We start from the raw sequence: 22,482 nt of genomic DNA, 5'->3' as shown, positions 1-22,482 counted from the left end.
TCTCAAGGAATATGCCTGGGTTTACATTAATTTTTTGCCATTTTATGTGGCAAAAAAAGGCAAAACCTTCATGCATTCCAAATCTCAATAGACTGCATTAGCCAAAGGTACAAAAACTTTTTTAGGTGACAAATAAGTAAAATTTGGAATTTTGATTGGAACAAAGATATGTTTAATGATTGATCAGGGCATCTTAAACTCACAAAGGTACTTTCTTTCTTTGTCTTATACTTAATTTTTTAAAAGTGAAACTTGGCCCCAGCTGGAAATTCTGTAGGCAGAATGTTCAAAATAGTTGCGATGACTTGTATATTTTATAATCTAACTGAAGGTTTCTCAGATTATGTAATTTTTCAAGAGAAAATGCCCATGAGTAAATATGTTGTGATTAATTTCAGGATCAGTATGCTTTGATTAATATAATAGTCAGAAGTCATTTTATTAATCATGTCAAATTACTGCAAATTTTATCTTAGAAAATGTTTAATTAATAGTCAAGTTATTTTATTCATATCAAATTACTGCAAATTTTATCTTAGAAAATGTTTAACATTATATTTCATACTAATACAAAAACACACACACCAAAAAATTTTAAGTGTCAAATGTATTGAAGGATATATGTTTTTTTCAAAATTATTTTGGGGGTAACAGACAATACATTTGACTGTATTGTCACTGACCTAGTAGTTTCTGGATCATAGTTGGTGTTCAATAAATAAATACTAAATAAATATTGATTGAATACTGAATAAATACCCAAGCAGCTGCCTTAATGAACCTGTAACTACACATGCAGGACATCATGTAATATCTGAACTTTTCCCCTTAAATTTAATATAGCTCAATCCCCCTGGCCTGATGTTCATGAATCCTCAAAGATGCATCCAGTACACCCTTATCCCCTAGAGGTAATAGGAGACAAAGTGAAAGATGAGATTGCACAGCCTTTGGCAGATAGTATACAACAGCACACAGGCAGATTGACATATAAGTCCCTGCACCTCCTGCAGTTGCATTTTAGTGTTTGATTTTGAAGTGACCACCTGAAGGGTAGTGTACCTTGACTGTTTGTGGAAATATAGATCTATCATGTAGAATATCATGATGAGGAAAATTAATCTTTTCTCTAAGGACTCAGGGCAAGCCAGTCCGATCAGGTTTCCCAAATGTAATTGCCAATCTTCTGCTGTGCTCTCAGAGACCCCAGATATATTCTCATCCCCAGTTCTTTGCTGCTACCTCCATCTATCCACTAGCCTCAAATGTTTTTCATTCCCACAGCTGGGTCGTCCCCTGCAGGCTTTCTTCTGCCTGCCTAGCTGATGATGTTTTTCTGGCTCCAGAAAGCTTCCGAGATTGTTACAAACAGTGCTTGTAGGGACAAAGGATTGTCCCGATTAAAACAACAAAAAAACGAGGACGGTCTTGCAAGAATCCAGATGGGTGGCCATCCCACATGAACACTGTGATGTTTCTCTCTTCTTTTCTTCCTCTCATCATTAAATAAGGACAATATTATTATTTTGAAAACTTAGGAGTTAAACTAAGGTTTTAATTGTAGTCAAAGGTTTATTCAATGATTTTGCTACTGAGATACCCAAAACACTTTTTCTCCTTTCATTGTTCTTAGGGATCTGATTACTTCATTGTTGTATTTTCATGTTCAAAGGGATAGGCAAGTGAAAATTAATTCAACCCTAAATGTAAGTCTCAAGTTATTGGGCCTTTTCTTCCTGCAGTTTTGAGAAGACTTTGGGGGAAGACAGACTCAATTATTTCAAAGAAGATTGAGTGACTACATTTTATTTTACTTTTGTTCATTAGAATATTATTTAATTATCATTATTTTCATTATGGACTTTTGATTACAACTCTGATTTACATTGAGTTTAAATGAACAGAAAACTGTGCTCAAGAAATAGAATGAGAAAATACTGTTCACAGCTTTGTCAGTGTTTTCTGCCAGTATTCTCTTTTTCCAACAGCTGCAGTAGGACATGCTGTTGGTATTCGGAGGCTTCTAGAAAGAGATGTGGCCAAGTATATTTTTCTAACCTCTAACTTCAGCACATAGGTCACCACTCAGTCACCTTGTCGATGTATCCTTTAAACTCTCACTATTAATTGCTCTTAGTAATGATATCTGAGGCCTGAACGCCAGGGAAGAACTCAAGGTCTCTAATTTCCCTGCCACTGAGCACACATTACTTATTTCTAGCAGTTACTTAAACTCTCTTTACTTTACTGCTAAAATTTTAGGTAATGATTCTAAATTAGCACAGAGGAAACAGACTTTAAAAAATATTTTATGCTAAAACGAAATACCAATTTCTGATAGATTTTATTTTCAAAATGTGTCCAATGTGTTTTTCTTCTTTTAGTTCATGTCATGGTTGTAATAATAAGTAACACTGCTATTTGTGGAAATTCACTCTATTTTTAGCCTAGAAAGGGGGTTGCAGAAAATGTCTTTGTTTTTTTGGCCTGATCACTGACAGTTCTCATGTATTCTGAATTTATGGCCAATCGTTTGCTATTATTAGGTGTCCTGAATTAATTCATCTCCTAATTATAACTGATGCAATAATGAATGATTCTGCATGAAGCTAAGTATTCCTGGATGCTCATAAGCTGAGCGTATGATTCAATTGTGGGGCAGTTTAGCATGTGATAGGTGTACTAGAGTCCTTCCCTAATTCTTTCACTTGATTTCCAGTCTTCCACACAATCATTGTTCCTCAGACAAAAAGGAAAAGTTATCTAGTCTGTTCCAGGTAAATGAAGAGCCATGAGAATGCACTATTAACAATTGCCATAGCAAGTAAAATAAAAATCAGACCTTTAATTCACCTTTAAAATAAGTACCAGGTAAGCATATTATTGATTTCGTTAAAGGGAAACTTAGACTAAGGTATTCAAGCTTATTTGTTGCTTGTCACAAAGCCATCATCAAATGAGACTAGACAATGGCCTTTGGAGGTCAAAGTAAATGGAAAATAAAGATTATCTATGTGAGAGTTTCTGAATGGCACTTTAATTAATGTATATAATTCCCTCCAGCAGTCCTTTCATTGCCACAGTCATCGCTTCTTCAGGGTCATCCACAACTACTGTTAACCCTCTATCCCTCTCTCTCTCCCTTTCACCAATGATATCATTTCCAGAAACTTTAGAGGGGCTAATGTAGGAAAAAAGCCAATGGCAACTGGCAACTGCAGAACCCTCATACTTCAGTAGAAAATGCCTTCTTTAAAACTCTTTACTAAAATAAAATGCATTATGCTTAGTAAGACATGAGAATTGTTATTAATGGGTTAGAACCATATTATTTCATGTTTTATGTTTTCTTGCTAGAAGTTATTACAAGGTAAGCTTTACGGTTGAAAAAATCTGGGCTAAGGGACATGGATTTCAGAGGGCAAGGCATGCCCCCAAATACCACTTGCTTTCCCTATACTCTTCTTTAATCAATTTATTTCATCCCTTCTTGATTGTATTCATATATAAAGACTGTTTATTGGATCCAGGAGTTACATAAGCATATTAGAAGCTGTGTAATACAACTTTACTTTTTAATTATTAAAAAATTTATTTTTAAAATTTCCAAAGAATGTCTCCTAGTATTTATGTTCTGAAATTCCATTCCAAGTACAAGTTCCCAATATACATAACCTTGTATAGTTAGGCATTTTTTGGCATACTTTCTCTGCCTGTGTCATTTTTACTTCAAGTTAATTAAAAGAGATATTGGAGCATAATAAAACTATGTATTTTCTAATATACTTTCTATTTTTGATCAAATGAGGTTCCCTCTTTCAAAATTAAATTATTATAATTTTATTGTAATCCCATTCAAATATAAGGCTACTGTGCACCCCATTTTTTTAATGTCATCTGCATCAGATATTTGTCATTTTAATATTTTCCAGTTCCTGTCAACTGAGAATGGAAAGATGGTGATGCGCCATTCACAATTTTTTGGCAGACACTGCTACTTTTACCAAACAACCAGAAAATAAACAGCTATCAATAACAGCTAATAAATAAAATAGTGTATCCTGTGGACTATTTTGGGGGGATGGAATCCAGGATTATCCTATACTCAGAATGGCTTGAGGACTTGTTATTTGAGTTGTAAATAGCACATGATGTTTTATGTGGCACATGTTTATTTCCATTGAAAGAGCATGTCCTATTTTTGAGGAAGGAAAGAAACTTGTAACTTCAAATGTTTGTTGCAAAACAATTTGATGAAATAAATGTAAATGAATCAGAAACATGTGAATTGTATTTCATTAAAATTAATGGGTTTAAATGTGAAGGGGGTAAAATGCTTGGGGGAAAGAGTGTGGTAAGGCGGGAAGGGATATTTGTTTTGTTTTCATCAGTCTTGGATTCTTGAAAAATGGCTTAATAGTCTGAATTTCATCTCACTAAGATTCTCTTAAGCCTAATGGTGGAGTTACAGAGTGGAACAATGAAATGCAAATTTATTTTATAGCTTTGTGTGGCTCCAGTTATAAAGTATGCATCAAACATTGCCACTATGCAGTCCTTCAAAATAACTTTCAATTTGAAGTTGGTGGTTTTTCTATATAATTCTTTAAAGGGTAAACAAGAAATTGTAATGATGCTAAAATACATTTTTTATCTCTCAGACTCGTACATAAACTTCACATTTCCTTTTTCTAACTGAAGATGATCTGATCACCTAAACGGAAAACATGTGAGGGCTCAATGTGTAGACATATATGCAGGAGATGGGCAGGAGGAGAAGACACTGGAAGAAAGGGAAAGAGTAAAAGAAATAAAAGGAAAAAAAGACATGAGCAATGCAGGCCGAGCTATACCATCAAACCTAATTCATAAGTAAAGCACTGAAATCTCACTAAGTATTTGAGAGCCATAACCATTTTATCCCATAGTTTATGTTCAAATTATTTATGGTTGCTTAAAAACAAATACATAGCTTATTTTATATTTTGTATTTTCAATTAAAAAATCATCTATTACTCTGAAAATGAGAAAAATATCAACTTCAAAAAAGAAAAAAAGGTTTACAAATGAGTCTCCCTGCCTCAAAATCTGAGTAAGTTTGATGTGGGTTATGACATTTTAGTTTCTCAACTTCCAGTCTTTGAACACAGGGACATTTTTAATGTTCCAAATACTTCCAAGAGGCAAGGGGTGCACAAATGGGTATATATGTATGTATAACCCCTGAAATCTTCATTTTCCTAAACTCTGACCACCTTCTGTATTATTTCACATGTATTTTTTTTTAAGATAATATATGACACTGCTGAAGTAGCCTTCTGGACATACCCCTAGGTAGAGAAATGTATGAACAGAGGTTCTTTCTTTACAATAGAAGGCGTAGTAGCCTGTGGGGCTATTTCAGGTCTGTAAGGAGTCTGCTTTTGTGCTTCCTGGGAATATAATGATATAATTGGAGCTTAGCATCTCTCTGGCTGCTGGGAGCTCAACTGCTGCTTATCACCGTGTTTGGAATGAGGATCCTGTTCCTTAGTGTCTTTGTGCCAAATAATTCACTGCCTCATACTGTTCTGGAAATGTTTCTCCTCCTTGCTTTTATAGGCAGGAACTGAAAGGGTTCACTTTTAAAATATTTGTTTCATAATTGGGCAGGAGATACATTTTGGCTTCTAGCATAGCCCTTTGTTGTTTTATTTAACATTTCTCTCATCGTTCTTTAACAGGTGAAAAAATCGAGTGGCTAAGATGGCTGTGTCATTTTTACCTTACAATAGCATCAATGCAATAATTACAACTGCTCTTGAGACCCCAAAGTCACACATAAGGGTCCTATGAATCAATAAAAGTCTAAATTCTAACTCTAGCGTTGTGTCAATGAAAATATACAAACAGCGTCAGCTTTATCTTTGTCATCAAGCAATAGATATTTATAAGGTCCTCAATTAAGTGTGACTACTTAGGCTCTAGGTTCAGAACATTATGATGATGGTATAGTTCCTTCCGGGTGAGATATATTGTGATTCATTTTCTATCATGATTTGCTATAGTAATGTTTCATAAGTGAAACACGATCTAATCCTTTACTTCTGGTGTTGTTCCACTTGATGACAGGCCTACCCTTGTAGCAGTGATAAGGAGTGTGAAGTTGGGAGGTATTGCCACAGTCCCCACCAAGGATCATCGGCCTGCATGGTGTGTCGGAGAAAAAAGAAGCGCTGCCACCGAGATGGCATGTGCTGCCCCAGTACCCGCTGCAATAATGGTAAAAGATCTCACTAAGTGTTAATGGGCCTCTTTCTTTTCATCATCATAAGCCTGTCTCTCAAGTCAGGCTATCGTCTCCTTACTCAGACTCCTGAAATATAAGAAGCCTGGTAGAACTGGTTTAGGTAGTGTAAGATTACCTGGATTACCTCCCCAAATCTTAGTTTTCCTAGAGTCTGGCTACTTTCTATATTTTATGACCTACACTGATCTAGAATATTGCCATGTTGAAGTGTTGTGTATAAATAGCAAGATGTTCTATTTCAGTAAACACATAAGTGAATGCATGTAAAAGAACCAAAGAAAGAAACTTGATATGATTTAGTAATGCAGTTGCAAATATCTATTCCAGTTTTGTGCTTTGGGTTTAGTCAAGATGTTCTGTGGCTCAGTCTTATGGTAGTAGAGTGATTGGTTCCTCCAAAGGGAGATGCAGCATTTTATTCCCCAACCTGGCTTCATCCAATATCAATGAATTTATAGGCAGACAATTCAGTAATAATGATGAAATGGATCACAGACAAGATGTGGCAAAAACATTAAATAATTGCAGAAGGTAATTAGAAATATATACTTAATCATATAAAACAACATAATCAGGCTCATTTTCTCATGCCTATTCCTGACCTCTGGGTGTAGACCTACTGTGAGTCTCTTGCACAGGAGGTGAAGGGAAGAAGACCTCACACCATTAGAGAAGTTTACAGTGTAAACTAACATTATGTTGTTAATTAATAAAGGAATCTGGATCCAGAGGATGTATGTCTGATCAGATTCTTTAAAAATAGTAATAGCTAACATTGATTCTTCACATATATTCACAATAACTTTGTGACTATATAAAATTATGCTTTTATTCCCAGTTTTGTCCAAGGTCACTTGGTCTTGAGAGAGACAAAATTCATATTAAAGAAGTTTCACTTTAGGGCCAAAGTATGCTCAGTCTCAATAAATAAGTAAATGAATGGATGGGTGGATAGATAGATAGATACACAGATAGATAAATGGCTTCATATTTCACATCAAGAGAGTATGTGGATAAGTATCACATTTCATAGAATTGAATTAGTCTAACTGATTATATGATCATCTCCAGGCATCTGTATCCCAGTTACTGAAAGCATCTTAACCCCTCACATCCCGGCTCTGGATGGTACTCGGCACAGAGATCGAAACCACGGTCATTACTCAAACCATGACTTGGGATGGCAGAATCTAGGAAGACCACACACTAAGATGTCACATATAAAAGGTAGGGATATCTGTAGTTCTGGGGTTTTTTTAAAATAAAGAAATAGAAGAAAAATATAGATAATTAATTCCATTGGTTTTAGAAAAAATTACAAGGAAGTTTCTTTAATCCTAGCTAGTCATTAAACTTGTTATTTAGGTGGCAAATAATGGAAACAGACCATAATAGATTTATGTGATAAGAGGCAGAGCCAATTGGTATCAACCAAGACTTTTCATTATAAATGGTAACAACATAGAAGATAGTATAAGTAAAAATATTTTATGTGCTTCTGATTGCAAAATAGAATTTTTTTTTTCTGAAGTGTCAGGGTAACATCTATTGGTCATCATCTCTGCAGGGCATGAAGGAGACCCCTGCCTACGATCATCAGACTGCATTGAAGGGTTTTGCTGTGCTCGTCATTTCTGGACCAAAATCTGCAAACCAGTGCTCCATCAGGGGGAAGTCTGTACCAAACAACGCAAGAAGGGTTCTCATGGGCTGGAAATTTTCCAGCGTTGCGACTGTGCGAAGGGCCTGTCTTGCAAAGTATGGAAAGATGCCACCTACTCCTCCAAAGCCAGACTCCATGTGTGTCAGAAAATTTGATCACCATTGAGGAACATCATCAATTGCAGACTGTGAAGTTGTGTATTTAATGCATTATAGCATGGTGGAAAATAAGGTTCAGATGCAGAAGAATGGCTAAAATAAGAAACGTGATAAGAATATAGATGATCACAAAAAGGGAGAAAGAAAACATGAACTGAATAGATTAGAATGGGTGACAAATGCAGTGCAGCCAGTGTTTCCATTATGCAACTTGTCTATGTAAATAATGTACACATTTGTGGAAAATGCTATTATTAAGAGAACAAGCACACAGTGGAAATTACTGATGAGTAGCATGTGACTTTCCAAGAGTTTAGGTTGTGCTGGAGGAGAGGTTTCCTTCAGATTGCTGATTGCTTATACAAATAACCTACATGCCAGATTTCTATTCAACGTTAGAGTTTAACAAAATACTCCTAGAATAACTTGTTATACAATAGGTTCTAAAAATAAAATTGCTAAACAAGAAATGAAAACATGGAGCATTGTTAATTTACAACAGAAAATTACCTTTTGATTTGTAACACTACTTCTGCTGTTCAATCAAGAGTCTTGGTAGATAAGAAAAAAATCAGTCAATATTTCCAAATAATTGCAAAATAATGGCCAGTTGTTTAGGAAGGCCTTTAGGAAGACAAATAAATAACAAACAAACAGCCACAAATACTTTTTTTTCAAAATTTTAGTTTTACCTGTAATTAATAAGAACTGATACAAGACAAAAACAGTTCCTTCAGATTCTACGGAATGACAGTATATCTCTCTTTATCCTATGTGATTCCTGCTCTGAATGCATTATATTTTCCAAACTATACCCATAAATTGTGACTAGTAAAATACTTACACAGAGCAGAATTTTCACAGATGGCAAAAAAATTTAAAGATGTCCAATATATGTGGGAAAAGAGCTAACAGAGAGATCATTATTTCTTAAAGATTGGCCATAACCTGTATTTTGATAGAATTAGATTGGTAAATACATGTATTCATACATACTCTGTGGTAATAGAGACTTGAGCTGGATCTGTACTGCACTGGAGTAAGCAAGAAAATTGGGAAAACTTTTTCGTTTGTTCAGGTTTTGGCAACACATAGATCATATGTCTGAGGCACAAGTTGGCTGTTCATCTTTGAAACCAGGGGATGCACAGTCTAAATGAATATCTGCATGGGATTTGCTATCATAATATTTACTATGCAGATGAATTCAGTGTGAGGTCCTGTGTCCGTACTATCCTCAAATTATTTATTTTATAGTGCTGAGATCCTCAAATAATCTCAATTTCAGGAGGTTTCACAAAATGGACTCCTGAAGTAGACAGAGTAGTGAGGTTTCATTGCCCTCTATAAGCTTCTGACTAGCCAATGGCATCATCCAATTTTCTTCCCAAACCTCTGCAGCATCTGCTTTATTGCCAAAGGGCTAGTTTCGGTTTTCTGCAGCCATTGCGGTTAAAAAATATAAGTAGGATAACTTGTAAAACCTGCATATTGCTAATCTATAGACACCACAGTTTCTAAATTCTTTGAAACCACTTTACTACTTTTTTTAAACTTAACTCAGTTCTAAATACTTTGTCTGGAGCACAAAACAATAAAAGGTTATCTTATAGTCGTGACTTTAAACTTTTGTAGACCACAATTCACTTTTTAGTTTTCTTTTACTTAAATCCCATCTGCAGTCTCAAATTTAAGTTCTCCCAGTAGAGATTGAGTTTGAGCCTGTATATCTATTAAAAATTTCAACTTCCCACATATATTTACTAAGATGATTAAGACTTACATTTTCTGCACAGGTCTGCAAAAACAAAAATTATAAACTAGTCCATCCAAGAACCAAAGTTTGTATAAACAGGTTGCTATAAGCTTGGTGAAATGAAAATGGAACATTTCAATCAAACATTTCCTATATAACAATTATTATATTTACAATTTGGTTTCTGCAATATTTTTCTTATGTCCACCCTTTTAAAAATTATTATTTGAAGTAATTTATTTACAGGAAATGTTAATGAGATGTATTTTCTTATAGAGATATTTCTTACAGAAAGCTTTGTAGCAGAATATATTTGCAGCTATTGACTTTGTAATTTAGGAAAAATGTATAATAAGATAAAATCTATTAAATTTTTCTCCTCTAAAAACTGAATTCAAAGCTCCTTGTCTTTTGTCTACGGGAAGAATTTTCATAGAATCATACTTTCTGAGAGTTCAACTGGACTTGGTCTGATTTTGAGGACTGGGTGTGAATCATTTGGAGGACATCAGCATGAGATAACTCAGAGCAGTTTACTATTACAAAAGGTAGTTTATTTCTTGGCAGTTTAGCTGTAATTGTTAGAAAGTTGTTTCTGTTTTTTTTTTTTTTTCCAAACCAAAATATTCCAGCTTGTGATTTACACCCATTTAGTCATATTTTGCCTTCCAGAACAACTTGGAACGAGAATATGCTCTTCACAAATTCTTCAAAATACTTTAAGACAGGTAACATATACCCCATAATCTTCTCTCTAGGCTAAAGTTTTCCAAAATGGAAATACTATTATGCTTAGAGTATTGGTTCATTTCTACATGAACCAATGAACGTGAGCTACACGATACCTTTTTCTGTGTTTGGAGAGAAACTGAGTGAAATCAAATCCACTTCCTGGGAAGCAAGTCTTTCCTCTGCTTCCTGAACCAGAGATGTCAGGAGTGTTTTGAGGAATAGTGTTCACCAAGTATGAGCAGGGATGCTACAAGAGCCCATGTTTTATTAGACATCAGAATGGGCTGCATATGTGGATAATAAACATTCTGTGACATAGTGAATGAATTAAATGTAGCTATGGCTGCTTCATGAAGCTAAAACAGTCCCACAGCTAGAAGTTAGAGTTAAAAATACCTTAAGCATTGCTGAAATACTTTCCACCATATGTTAATTAGTCATTTAAGGATATTCTTAAATCATTGGCCATTTCCTCAAATTGAGAATATTTATATTTTCTAGTTAAAGTGTGCTTTTGACTATAACAATCATATAGGCGATCTTTTTCTTTTCTATTGTGCTCAGTGAGATGCTCTGAGAAGTGACAAATTGTCCTGACATTTTTTTTTTTTTAGTTAAGAAATAAAATACCCTTAAGTAGCCTTAGTATTTTAGGGGAAAACATTCAGTTACACTTTTGTAAATGTAATTGTAGCCTTAGGATTTTAGGGAAAAACGTTCAATTATAATTGTCTTCACTCAAAATCAGGCCAGTTGAAAAACAGATTTTTTTAAAAAATGGGCAAATGAAAGATTACTCTATTGCTGGTGAAGCTGATATTGAAAAATGTAGCATATACCTGTGAGCAAGAAGACATTCTAACACTAAACACCAGAAATAGATTCTGTGCCCATTCACATTCAACACCAGACTATATCAGTTCCATCTTATGGGAGCTGCCCTGTAAAATTTATAATATGGATGGGCAGAACAGAATGACAGGCCTCCTTCTGGCAGTTAACACCGAAGATGAAGTGGGTGGAAAGTGGGCTGAACTATGCATTTCTCATTCAAAAATCTCATCCAAAATTTTCCAAAGCTGGACAATTTGTACTACATGAAAGGAGTGAGTGAGGGGTGGAGTGAGACAAAGATGATCATTCCATGCCACATCGAACTCACTTTAAAGATTGAGAAAGAAGAAGCCCTCCTCATATCCTTCCCCAGATATTTTTAACCCATTGTGCATACCATTTGTCTATGGTGAAGATATGAGTTTTAGCCAAAATCTGACCTGCTACCTCCTAGGGGAAGTGCCTGATGAAGTCTTTTTTCCTAATGACATCCATTTCTTCTTTATGGATCCTCTCAGGATGTGGTGTGGTGGGAAATTTAGCTGTTGTCCCCAGGAGCTAGCAAAATGTATGAAAATAATACATTAATTAAATAAACTTCAAGACCACTCTATATCCAGGACTAGAAAATAATTCTCTATTCTTTTAACTGCCCCAAATTATATCCATCATGTCATCTAACACAGTCTATTAGGGATTTTGCAGTGAGACTAAATGATGCATTGAGTATATGATAATAAAATATGTGAAAGCATTTCATTAATAAAATTCTAACAATGCAGAGATGCCCCACCTTTGAATATAAATCTTCTTCCATTGAAAATTTCTTAGGGAGAAAGTAAAGGACAAAAATTAAATCCTCTTGCATGTTAAAGTCAAAATAACTTGAAGTTCAAAAGAATTAAAGTCTGCAATCATTATCTTCCTGTTTATGATAAAGAGCCCAAAGACATCAAAGTTTAAAATCTTCAGGTTAATAGCTAAAATTTTTCTTCCTTATTCCATATTTTGCTCTGTCTCAGCCATAGGGTTTCCAGATGCCTGGGTGAGCTAGAACTTCTTCAGCAGCTATGGCCTGAGCAGTTTCCCACTAGAATGACTGCTGGTTCGATAGAACCTCAGAAGATTTATTAGTTTGACAACAATCTCTGATGCAGCTCACTTTTACTAAAGTCCAGTGAATTATTATATCACACTCAATTAAGCCAAAGGTGCCACCACATTTAGAAAACAAGCTAATCTTGTTCTTAGAACAGACACCTTAGGCAAAGTGCTGTTAACATATGCAGGGCTTACAATGCCAAAAATCATAGCAGAGATGAATGGACTCTGAATGTAGAAAGATGGAGAAAAATCTGGTTTTGGTTTGCTAAAAATGTCAGTAAATCCAAACCAGGTGTCTGTACCCCATGGTCTGTGAAACTTAAACTTATATGGGAAAAATGTCCCATCAAGAAGTTAGATATGGCACTATATTTTTCCTTATAGTAGGGTGGGAGGAGAAGCCACTTGTATTCTATCTCCTTATAGGGAGTGAGTGGTAATTGAGGTATTGCTGCCTTCAGTAAACGTGGTCAACTTTAAAAATTTTGCCATGACATTAGCCTCATTAGGGCTTCTTTCTTTTGTAGTTAGCCTACTCAAAGCCTCACCAGTGCTTAATTCAGAATAGGCTCTGTCTGGTGATGTGTGCTCCAATTGTCTTACAAGCGGAACTTTTTCAGGGCTGTGCACAGTGGCAGGTTCCACTGCTTCATGCTGTAGAATTATTTACTTCCTCATCTCTGCATTTGTTCTACTTGTACCATAACATCAATAGATTCCTGAATTAAAATTGCTATTGATACCTCTGAAAGTTATTTTAGCAAAGTATACACTCCTAGGAGCTAAGAAGACACTCCTAATTTACATTCCGTCATTCAACATATTCATCAAGCGTCTATTATGTGCTAGGCCACTTTGTAAGCACAATGAGTAGAAGTAGAGTACCAAACTAATAAAGTACATTTTTACATTCCAGTTAATTTTTAGGGCAATGGCTAGGAGGCAGAAAACTAAATAACAAAAATATCAATACTACAGGAGACAAAGATGAGCACTGTGAAGAAAATTGAAGGAGAGTAAAGGAACAGAGGGAGATGATTAGTGTTATTTTAGATTTTCCAGTGAGGGAAGATCTCTTAAAGAAGGCAGATTATGAGCAGAAACCTGATTGAAGTGACAGAGTGACAATGAAAATGTCTGGAGAAACTGACATGGGCAGTGGAAGAGCAAGGTAAACATTTGACAATGGGAAGAGGTTGAAAATGGAGACTAGGATGAAAAAAGGGAGGAGATAAGAGATGAGACTAGACAAGTAGCTTGGTCAGGTCATGTAGAACCTTATTAACCATCATTAGTTTTATTATGAAAGAGATATGGAACTGGTAGAAGCTTTTGAGCAAGCGAGTAGCTTGAGCTGACATGTTTCCCCAGGATCACCCAGTCTGCTGTGTGGAGAATAGACCATAGGGCAGTAGGGCATCCAGGCAAGAAATGCTGGCTCGGATAAGTGAGGTAAAGTGAAAGCCATGAGAGTTGTTGGATTTAGGGTATGCTGGAGGTGGATTTGCTGTTGGATTGCTTATCTTTCCTTCCAGCTGTAGTGAAAGAATGAAGGTGGTGAAGGAAAGAAGGGAGTCTCTCTAGACTAGCCTGAGGAACACAGAAAAATAAACTGTTGATAAGAAAAGTTAAAAAAAAATTTCCTGTCCACTGTCCTTGTATTTAATATGTAAAGAATTGCCTCTCAGTAGAATATCAGAAATTCCTTAGAAAGTGGATCTTTGTAAATCTCTCATCAGCCATCTTGAGATCTTAAGAAAAATTCTACGAAAGAAGAATTACATCCACAAAATAGAGCTTATTGGATGTGCTAAGGGAAGTGGTTGCAAACAAATGAAAGGGTGAGGGAGTGGCAGGACAATATAGAAAAGAGAACAAACAGGGATCAGAGAACAAAGACTGAGCAGAATTTCCAGTGAGAGTATAAAAAAAGAGATGCATCATCAAGTGGAATGCTGGGAATCCCAAAACGTGCTAATAAGAAGCTTCAATTTGACATAGATACCAAAAGGTGTCAAGAAAAACTTACGGGAACAGAATAGTTAACACACAGCAGTAGGCTTAGAAAATGATTTTAGCAAAGGGTGCAGCTCAGGCAACTCTCCCATTGACGTTGGGCCAATGAATTGCATTAAAGGGAAATTTCTCAAAGTAAGTAATAGTTCTCTTTGAGTATTAAGTAATTGTATAGTTCAGGACCTGGGAATTCTAAAGAAATAACAGTATGCAAGTAATTGAAGTACTTTCATGAGAAATACACTTGCCATCATACCTCTCACACATACGTCATGAATACCACAGTGCACATAACCTTTTAAAATTTCCTGGGGGTCAGCATTTCTTACGGATGCCATGGACTTTTTTATTTGCTCCACACCTTCCCACTTCACTGCACCTGCTGCACCAGTCATCATTTTGTGTTTAATGGCCAGTCAGTCTCCAGGGCCTAGTAACAGATGGAGAATATCAGATCAGCTAGCACCTGTAAAATATTCTAAGTCCTACTTAAGCTTTTCAGGCAGACATTGAAATTAAGACCGTTTTAGCCTCCATTTATTTTCCTCCCTTCCTATCTTTCCTTCCAATGGGATCTTGTTCTTCCTAATAGTCAACAATTCTGTGCCCAAGTGTATGCCATACATAAAGCTGACTTAGATAACCGTTAGATGCAGCAATGTCTGTGGGAATTTCAGAGTAACTTTCAAGCTGTTTAACACAGGTCCATGTCTTAGAACTTTTCAAGATTCAAATATAGTGATGCTTCCTTTTATAATGCCTGAAGGGAACACACAACATGACTGTGTTTTACATGTTTCAAGGGACCTTGCATTCTGTACAGGGAGTAAACACCCCAAGACACTATGGGCTTCAGTTTGAGACTGTTAAAAATCAGTATTAGCTCTGGAGAAATGTGGGGATGCTGTACAAAACTTTTCCTAATATAAGAGAGGTCAAGGCAACTTGAAAGCATTTAGGATTCACTTCTTCAATGAATATAAAGTTGCTCAAAACACTGTTTTAAGGTTACAGAAGAAAATGGGTATCTGTTGTTTAATAGAAAAGACAACCCTAAGAGAGATCTACTCAGTGTTAAGAGTAAGATAGGCAGAAGAGTTTGATCATCTGGGAGAAAGGGGTAGGAAGAGGTGATTCAAGAAAATGTTCAGGGAGCAGGAACTAGGTGGACTTCCCTTTTAGAAAAACATGTTTTGGTAACCTTGAAATAGGACAAATAAAGGGAACATTTAGAAAGATTGATTGGGTGAAAATTTGCTGTTAGGAATGGGGGCTTTACAGAAAAACCAGTGACTTAAGGACTATCCAAACAGTATTGTGTTAGTCCAACATTCTCTTCTTACTCATTAGGTCATCTTATCTCATTATCACTTGGCAAAAAGCATAATTCATAAGGTATCTCCCCATAGGATTAAAAAATAATAGTAGTGATAATAATCTTACATCTATTCAGCACTTTTTACTTTGTCTCAGAATACCATCAAGGGTGTTACTACACTTTATTCTTTACAATAAGCTACACTTTATTCTTTACAATAAGCTGTAATTCTTTCTATTGAATGTTTGCTATAGACTAGGCGCTGGCTTAGTGCTGTCTCTACATCATCTCATGTCATCCGTCACAGTAACCTCTGCACAGTTAAGAGAGGTTAAGCCAGGATTTGAGACCTTGACTGTCTGAAGCCAGAACTTTCACTTTTAATCATGAATTTATACTGCTTTCATTAGAAATCAGCCTGTTTACGATTTGGGAAGATTCTGTGGCTTGCCTGCTGTCAAAGAGTTCATGAGTATCAGAGCTGAGGTTAAAGGCTATCTTTGGCAATCATCTCTTTACTGTAAGCTTTTTTGATTACATCCTAAAACAGTTTCCTAACTTCCTCCAAAACCGTAGAAGTTAGTGCTGGTATTAGGGCTAACAATCAACATGTCACTCTCTCCTCCACCCAATATTGCTCCCTGTTCATTTCTTTTCAGAGGACAAACTCAACCACCAGTCAGTATTTGGACATTAACGAGAACAACTTAAGGGTTTATCACATTCTTCAGGTTATAAGGCATATAACTAAAATCTATATCATTTGATATGTAGAGAATTGAAAGGTAATTTTGAAAGTGCAAAATTTCACAAACAGAGTGAAGAGTAGGAATGTGATTTTTATAAACAGAATTTAAGGAGTATGTGGCTGGAATTATTAGACTTAGTATGACTAACACACTAAAATAACAATTGGCTCTCCATCCTATCCCCACCTTGCATTCTGCTGTGAGAACATGGTTCAGAGTAGAAAATCACCATTTCTTTGAAAATATTGTTATATTTTAGAAGTCAATTTAAGTTTCCACTGAACTTATGCTCTGTTGTGTCTCTTACTAGAGCACTATCTCTATGTAGATAATACACCTAGTTACTAAACATAATGAAAATATATACACCACTCTTTGACTGCATACACTTTTTAAACGTTAATCATCCTGTCACGGAAACTGAAATGCAGACAGAACCAAATGACTTGCCAAGATCACTGGGTTGGAGGCCAGACGAAGTAGAGGTGGAGATTTGTCTGAACTACGACCAATATGCTTTGATTTCACACCTGTGCTTTATTTGTGGGCCAAGTTCTCTTATATGTTCTTTAAAAATATTACTATTTCTTGTTTCTTTCCATAGTGTGGCCTAGAGAATGTATCAGCTTCTGGAGGGACTGTGATTTCTTATACTAAACAGTGCTTTGTTGATATCATCCATTCATCCATTCATTATGCTTGACTCCTTAAAGATAAAATTGATTCTCAGTTCATACATGTTTTTCTTGAAGCCCTGAGGTTTATTTATTTATTTATTTTTTGGTGGGGGGGGTCTTACTCTTTTGCCTGGGCTGGAGTGCAATGGTGCTATCATGGCTCACTGCAGCCTTGACTTCCTGGGCTTAAGCAACTCTCCAACCTCAGGATTCCATTCCTTTCTCATTGTCCTCTTTCACAATCTACAAGAGTCAAGATGTAATGTCATAATGATGGTAAATTATCAAGACCAGGCCTTAATCTGGCTGCCAAACATGTTTAGTTTTGTACACAGACAGCTGGCTTGTACAGTTGTCCTTTGGTATCTGTGTGGGAATTGTTCCAGGACTGCTAGCGGATACCAAAATCTCAAAACACTTGAGCCCCGCAATGGCCCTGGGAAATCAGCCAATAAGAGTCAGCCCTCAGTATGGTTGGGTTTCGCATCCTGTGAAAACTGCATTTTCCATCCACATTTGGTTCTGGATGTGGAACTCACTGATAAGGAAAGTGAACTGTATTTATTGGAAAAAAATCTGCATATACATGGACCAGTGCAGCTCAAACCCGTGTTATTCAAGGGTCAACGGTTGACTGATTCTAGAAAAATTTGTATTATTTACCAATATTTTGAAAAAGGAAAGTTTATCACATACAAATATGGATTTCTAGATCCTCCTGAAAAAGAAACATTCTCCCTATAGGGAAATTCTGGGCCTGAACCTCTGCCTATCAGTCATTAATTAGTGCTAAGAGACAGCTGGAGTTTTCTGGGTCTTTTCAGTTCACACCACTTCCTGATTTTTCTGAATATCAGTTGGCTTTTAAAAAAAATCAGTGTGGGCTTCCCCCTCCCTTACTAAACATTAAGGAAAAAATAATTCTCACACCATTCCTTGGCTACAAATACTCTGAAGTCTCCCATTCCCTCATAATAGCCTCTAAATCCCTTGTGATACGGCCTATCTTCTAGGCCTCATCTCCTATCTCTCTCCCTTTCTCTTGTGGCATTCCAGCCAAACTGATTTTCTTTCTGTCCCATGAACAGATCAAGCTTGTTCCCATTGAACTCATCCGTCCTTGAGTCCTTTTGCCTAGTATAGCTTCCACAAATACACCTTCACTTGAACTTCGCTGGGCTTCCTTACTTACTTTCTTGAGGTCTGTCAAGTGCTACCTTTTCAAAAACTCTTCCCTCTAGAATCTGAAGGGCTCCGTTTAGAGAAGAGAATCTAGCATGTATGCATACAACTCCAGTGGTGTTCTTTTTTTTTCTTCTGGCTTCTCTACCTTTTATTTATTTATTTACTTTAATTCCAGCCCCACCACCTCTTAGCCTCATCCACCAGTGAGTCCATAAATTGTGGCAACAAGTGAACAAATACTGCATGACCTCTATAAGGTCCAGGTTGTGAATGTTGCTTCAGCCCTGGGATTAATGGGTAAAAGAGTTATTATGCAGTATTAAAACCAGATGGTGTTATTTTAATTAGAGTAATGGGGGCTCTTAATCAGGAAAGGTGCACTAACAAAGCCAGGATATATCATCTCATCATGAACCCTAAAAAAATCAGCAAAGAATTGCAAAGCCATTACATTAAAATATCCTCGAAATTTTCTAGAAATAGCCATTTCCATTAACATGTGTACTTGTAATCCTTTTTTCAAAATTTCTTCCATAATCTTTTATTTTTTGAGTTCTTTCAATGAAAAGACAAAAACATAAATGTCTTAAAAGCACATAAACTTTGAATTTTGGTGCTTCATTTTTTGAAGGGGGAATGTGTATTTTCTATGTGCGTAAGGTGTGTTTTCCTCAGAAATAAATAAAATAAAAGACAAATCCTCCCTTTGGAACCATTACCCACAAAAGATCCCTATGAGAAAAGTGAAATTTAATTTGGGAGGGATGAATGGAACAATCTGGTCCCATAAGTAGTGCAATATACTTTGCTCCACTCCAATCATTTTAATAACTCACACCCACTCTTTATCCTTTTCACTTGCCTGTGTTTTAGCACTTCTATATATATCTCCAGAGACCTGAGCATTCTTTCCATGTTTCTGACACTTGTGCTTATACGTATTGGGGCTGATCCTCTCTCCTCCATTAGGTTTTAAATTTATGGTGCACCCAGAACTTTGTAACTCCCCACACTACTTAGTAGCCCCACAGCTGAAGCCTTACCTTCTCCACGAACTCTCCTATAGATCCTTCTGACCCCTGGTGATCCTTTTCTTCTCCAAATTCATACTGCATTTTTTCACTGCATCACACTCTGCAGCACTGTGCTGTAATAACCTTTACTGAGCACTTGTTATATGATACATACTTTTTTCTGTACTTTATATACATTACTTAATTCAACTCTCACAATAACTCTATGCATCAGGTACTATCGTTATGCCAGTTCAATAAACCAGATTAAAATACTCGCTCAAGCCATACAGCCAGTAAATGCTAGCACCTACCCAGGCTTCTGAACTTAGAGACCTTCTTTTTCACCATTCTACTTGATCATGTTACACAATCTCCCATATAAATAATGTCTATCTTCAGTTTCAGCCAAATGTACTTTACTCAAATATCATCTACAGTGCTCAGGTCTATTCTATGGGAGGCACTCAATAAATATATCTCAGTGAATTCAGAAGCTATAGTTGGAACTCAAAGGTCCTTATCAGCATCTCTGCAGTCCTACACTAGCTCACCTAGCTGAAAGAGGCCAAGTTTTTAAAATCTGTGAGACTTTTGTATTTCCATTTTGAAATCCATTAGAGTGCTCCAAAAAATGAGTTATGTTATGCAATTAAGATTGTCATTTTCAGGATCTAAGAAAGAAAAACTGAGCCAGCAAAACCTTCCACACAACAACATGATTAGAAAAAGTAATTCCTTTCTGGTGTAGAGTGAGTTACCATGTAACTAGAAATACTTCACCTTAATTTATGATGTGTGGATAAACAGAGAGAGAAGAAAAAAAAGAGGCACCATTTATTAAGCTTCTCTCTATCTTATTGCACAGATTTAACTGGTGTTTTAAACTATTAAAGCTGTGTCTTACAGCAATTTAAACAAATCAATCACAAGAAACTAAGATATCTGTGTTCCTTTCTTTGTCCTTGTGTAGGAGTTCTTAGAACTTGATGGTGTCAACAAACAGACTCCGGGGTGTTCAAAAACATTATGAAATTCTTTGTAAGATTTTTTGTCTGTTGTTATATTGAAGTGAGAGTTTTCATAGCTTCCATCATTTCCTCAAAGGTCAATAGTCTCAAAGTTAGAGACCAATAAGATCCATCAGTATACTTATGATTATAATTCATCATAAGTAACTGAAAAATTATTTACTTTGCATGATCAAATAGAATAACTAATATTAAACTTACATGAAAATTTTCAGTTTTTAATGTCAGGAAAGTGAAAACAAACAAAATTGTTTGTACTTTAGAAAAGCACTTCTGAGGATCATTTTATACTCTCAAAAATGATTCAGGACCCCTAAAGTGCTTTGATATTTGTGAGCTGGATCGATTAATATTTGTATTAGGGATTGGAACAGAAAATTTTAAAATATCAGCATACATAAGCCCACATTCCATTAGTCCTCAAAGTGACAGCAGCATCACATACCATGTAGCCCCTGGAAGACTCTATGTTGCCGTCCTGCGAGAATGAGAAAGAAACGGCAATGATGGTTTTGTCCTATTAAAAATAGTTTCCACTTTATAGCCCTCCAAAGAGTGTAAGAGATCACCAGGCATTCTCAGACCACATTTTGAGAAACCACTGTTTTAGAGAAACTAGTCTTTTCATTGATACTATTTTCCCATTTCTCGTTTGTTTTTGGAATGATAAAATCTAAATGTGAGACTATCTCTAAAAAACGGAGCTAATGTTATGAAAGTGTTAATCAACCACATTACTCTCTGATTTCATTATTTTCCCTTTGCCTTACTTTTGTTAGATATTTATTTAACTTGCTATATTGTGTGCATATTTATAAATCTCCTTAAATCCTTTTTGGGATAAGACAGTATTTAGTATTTGAAGAGAAAGAAAAGCACTACATCACAAAATGCTGAGATGGAAACAATTTCTTAAAGTAATTTATTCTGAAATTACTAAGTGCAGTGTCAAGATACTATTAGAAAATTTGTAACTTTTAGCAAGTGAAAAACTTATATAATATGATAAATTTAAAGCTAGAAGAAATTTTGGTGCTTTAGTCAAATCATGTCTTTCTACAGAGAAAGAAAATAAAGTAACAATGTTTTTCTCCAGTTTCCTCAACTACTAAATATGGGCTATACAATAAGTTTTTTAAAATTCTTGATATAGAAGTTACATTGGTAGAAATACCACATATTTTCTCATAATTTTGTTGTTAATGGTGGTGAGCATTTTGATAATTTTTTTACATGAATGAGCCATGATGCCATTTACCTTATGTGACTTCAATATATAATGGCTATATATTGTTAATATATAAATAAAATAAAAATAAAAATAAAATTTAACTGATGTTGAATTTTTCCTTGAGTTGGTGATCTTGAATGGGAGTCAGCACAACAGAAGCAGCTAGTATCTGTTTCTATGCACTGTTCATAATTGACAATAAAATACCATATCTTTTATGTGCATATGGTAGATTTCCCTCTGTGCCAGTAGTCCATTGTTAAAGATACTGTTTGCAAAGAGGAGATTTCTCCCATGAAACCATAAATCTGTGTTTGTGGTATTGTCTAATCTCTGTTGTGGGAATGGATCTGACATCACCATCTGCAAATTATGACTTTTTTCAACTAAAAACCACAATGCAAATGACCATGAAAAAAATTTCCTCTTTATATTACGTATAATTTTGTTATACACAACAACAGAATTGTGTATAATCCTGTTACCTATGTGAGAGTTAAATGGACTTAGAGTTTACTATCCTTTAATTAGAATTATCTTTCATAGATGTTGTGGTTTATGTGTTCACTAAAAGCAATTGAACTGAGCCCTTCCTTCTCTTCTAGCTAATCCTGGGCTGGAGAATGCAAATGTCATCAGTGTAATATTATAAGTCATGGAAACAACCCAGAAAAGGGGATTTCCATCCAAGGGCTCAAATCAAGTCCATATTTCCAGGTCCCCAAC

At 35.6% G+C, this 22,482-nt stretch overlaps 1 protein-coding gene across 1 annotated transcript in view; it reads left to right on the top strand.

Moving 5' to 3' along the window:
• Window positions 1–10,259, top strand: part of DKK2 (dickkopf Wnt signaling pathway inhibitor 2) — a 114,512-nt gene extending 104,253 nt beyond the window's left edge. The window contains exons 2-4 of the mRNA NM_014421.3: window positions 6,112–6,262; window positions 7,361–7,516; window positions 7,857–10,259. Coding sequence (NP_055236.1) covers window positions 6,112–6,262; window positions 7,361–7,516; window positions 7,857–8,107 — 558 coding nt within the window. The 3' untranslated portion in view covers window positions 8,108–10,259. The remainder of the gene's footprint in view (window positions 1–6,111; window positions 6,263–7,360; window positions 7,517–7,856) is intronic.
• Window positions 10,260–22,482: the final 12,223 nt, after the last annotated feature.

Source organism: Homo sapiens, chromosome 4 (genome assembly GCF_000001405.40).
Source record: "Homo sapiens chromosome 4, GRCh38.p14 Primary Assembly".
NCBI classification, from domain to species: domain Eukaryota; kingdom Metazoa; phylum Chordata; class Mammalia; order Primates; family Hominidae; genus Homo; species Homo sapiens.
Note: the sequence above shows the minus strand (reverse complement) of the source record. Positions and strands in the feature narration are given on the sequence as shown.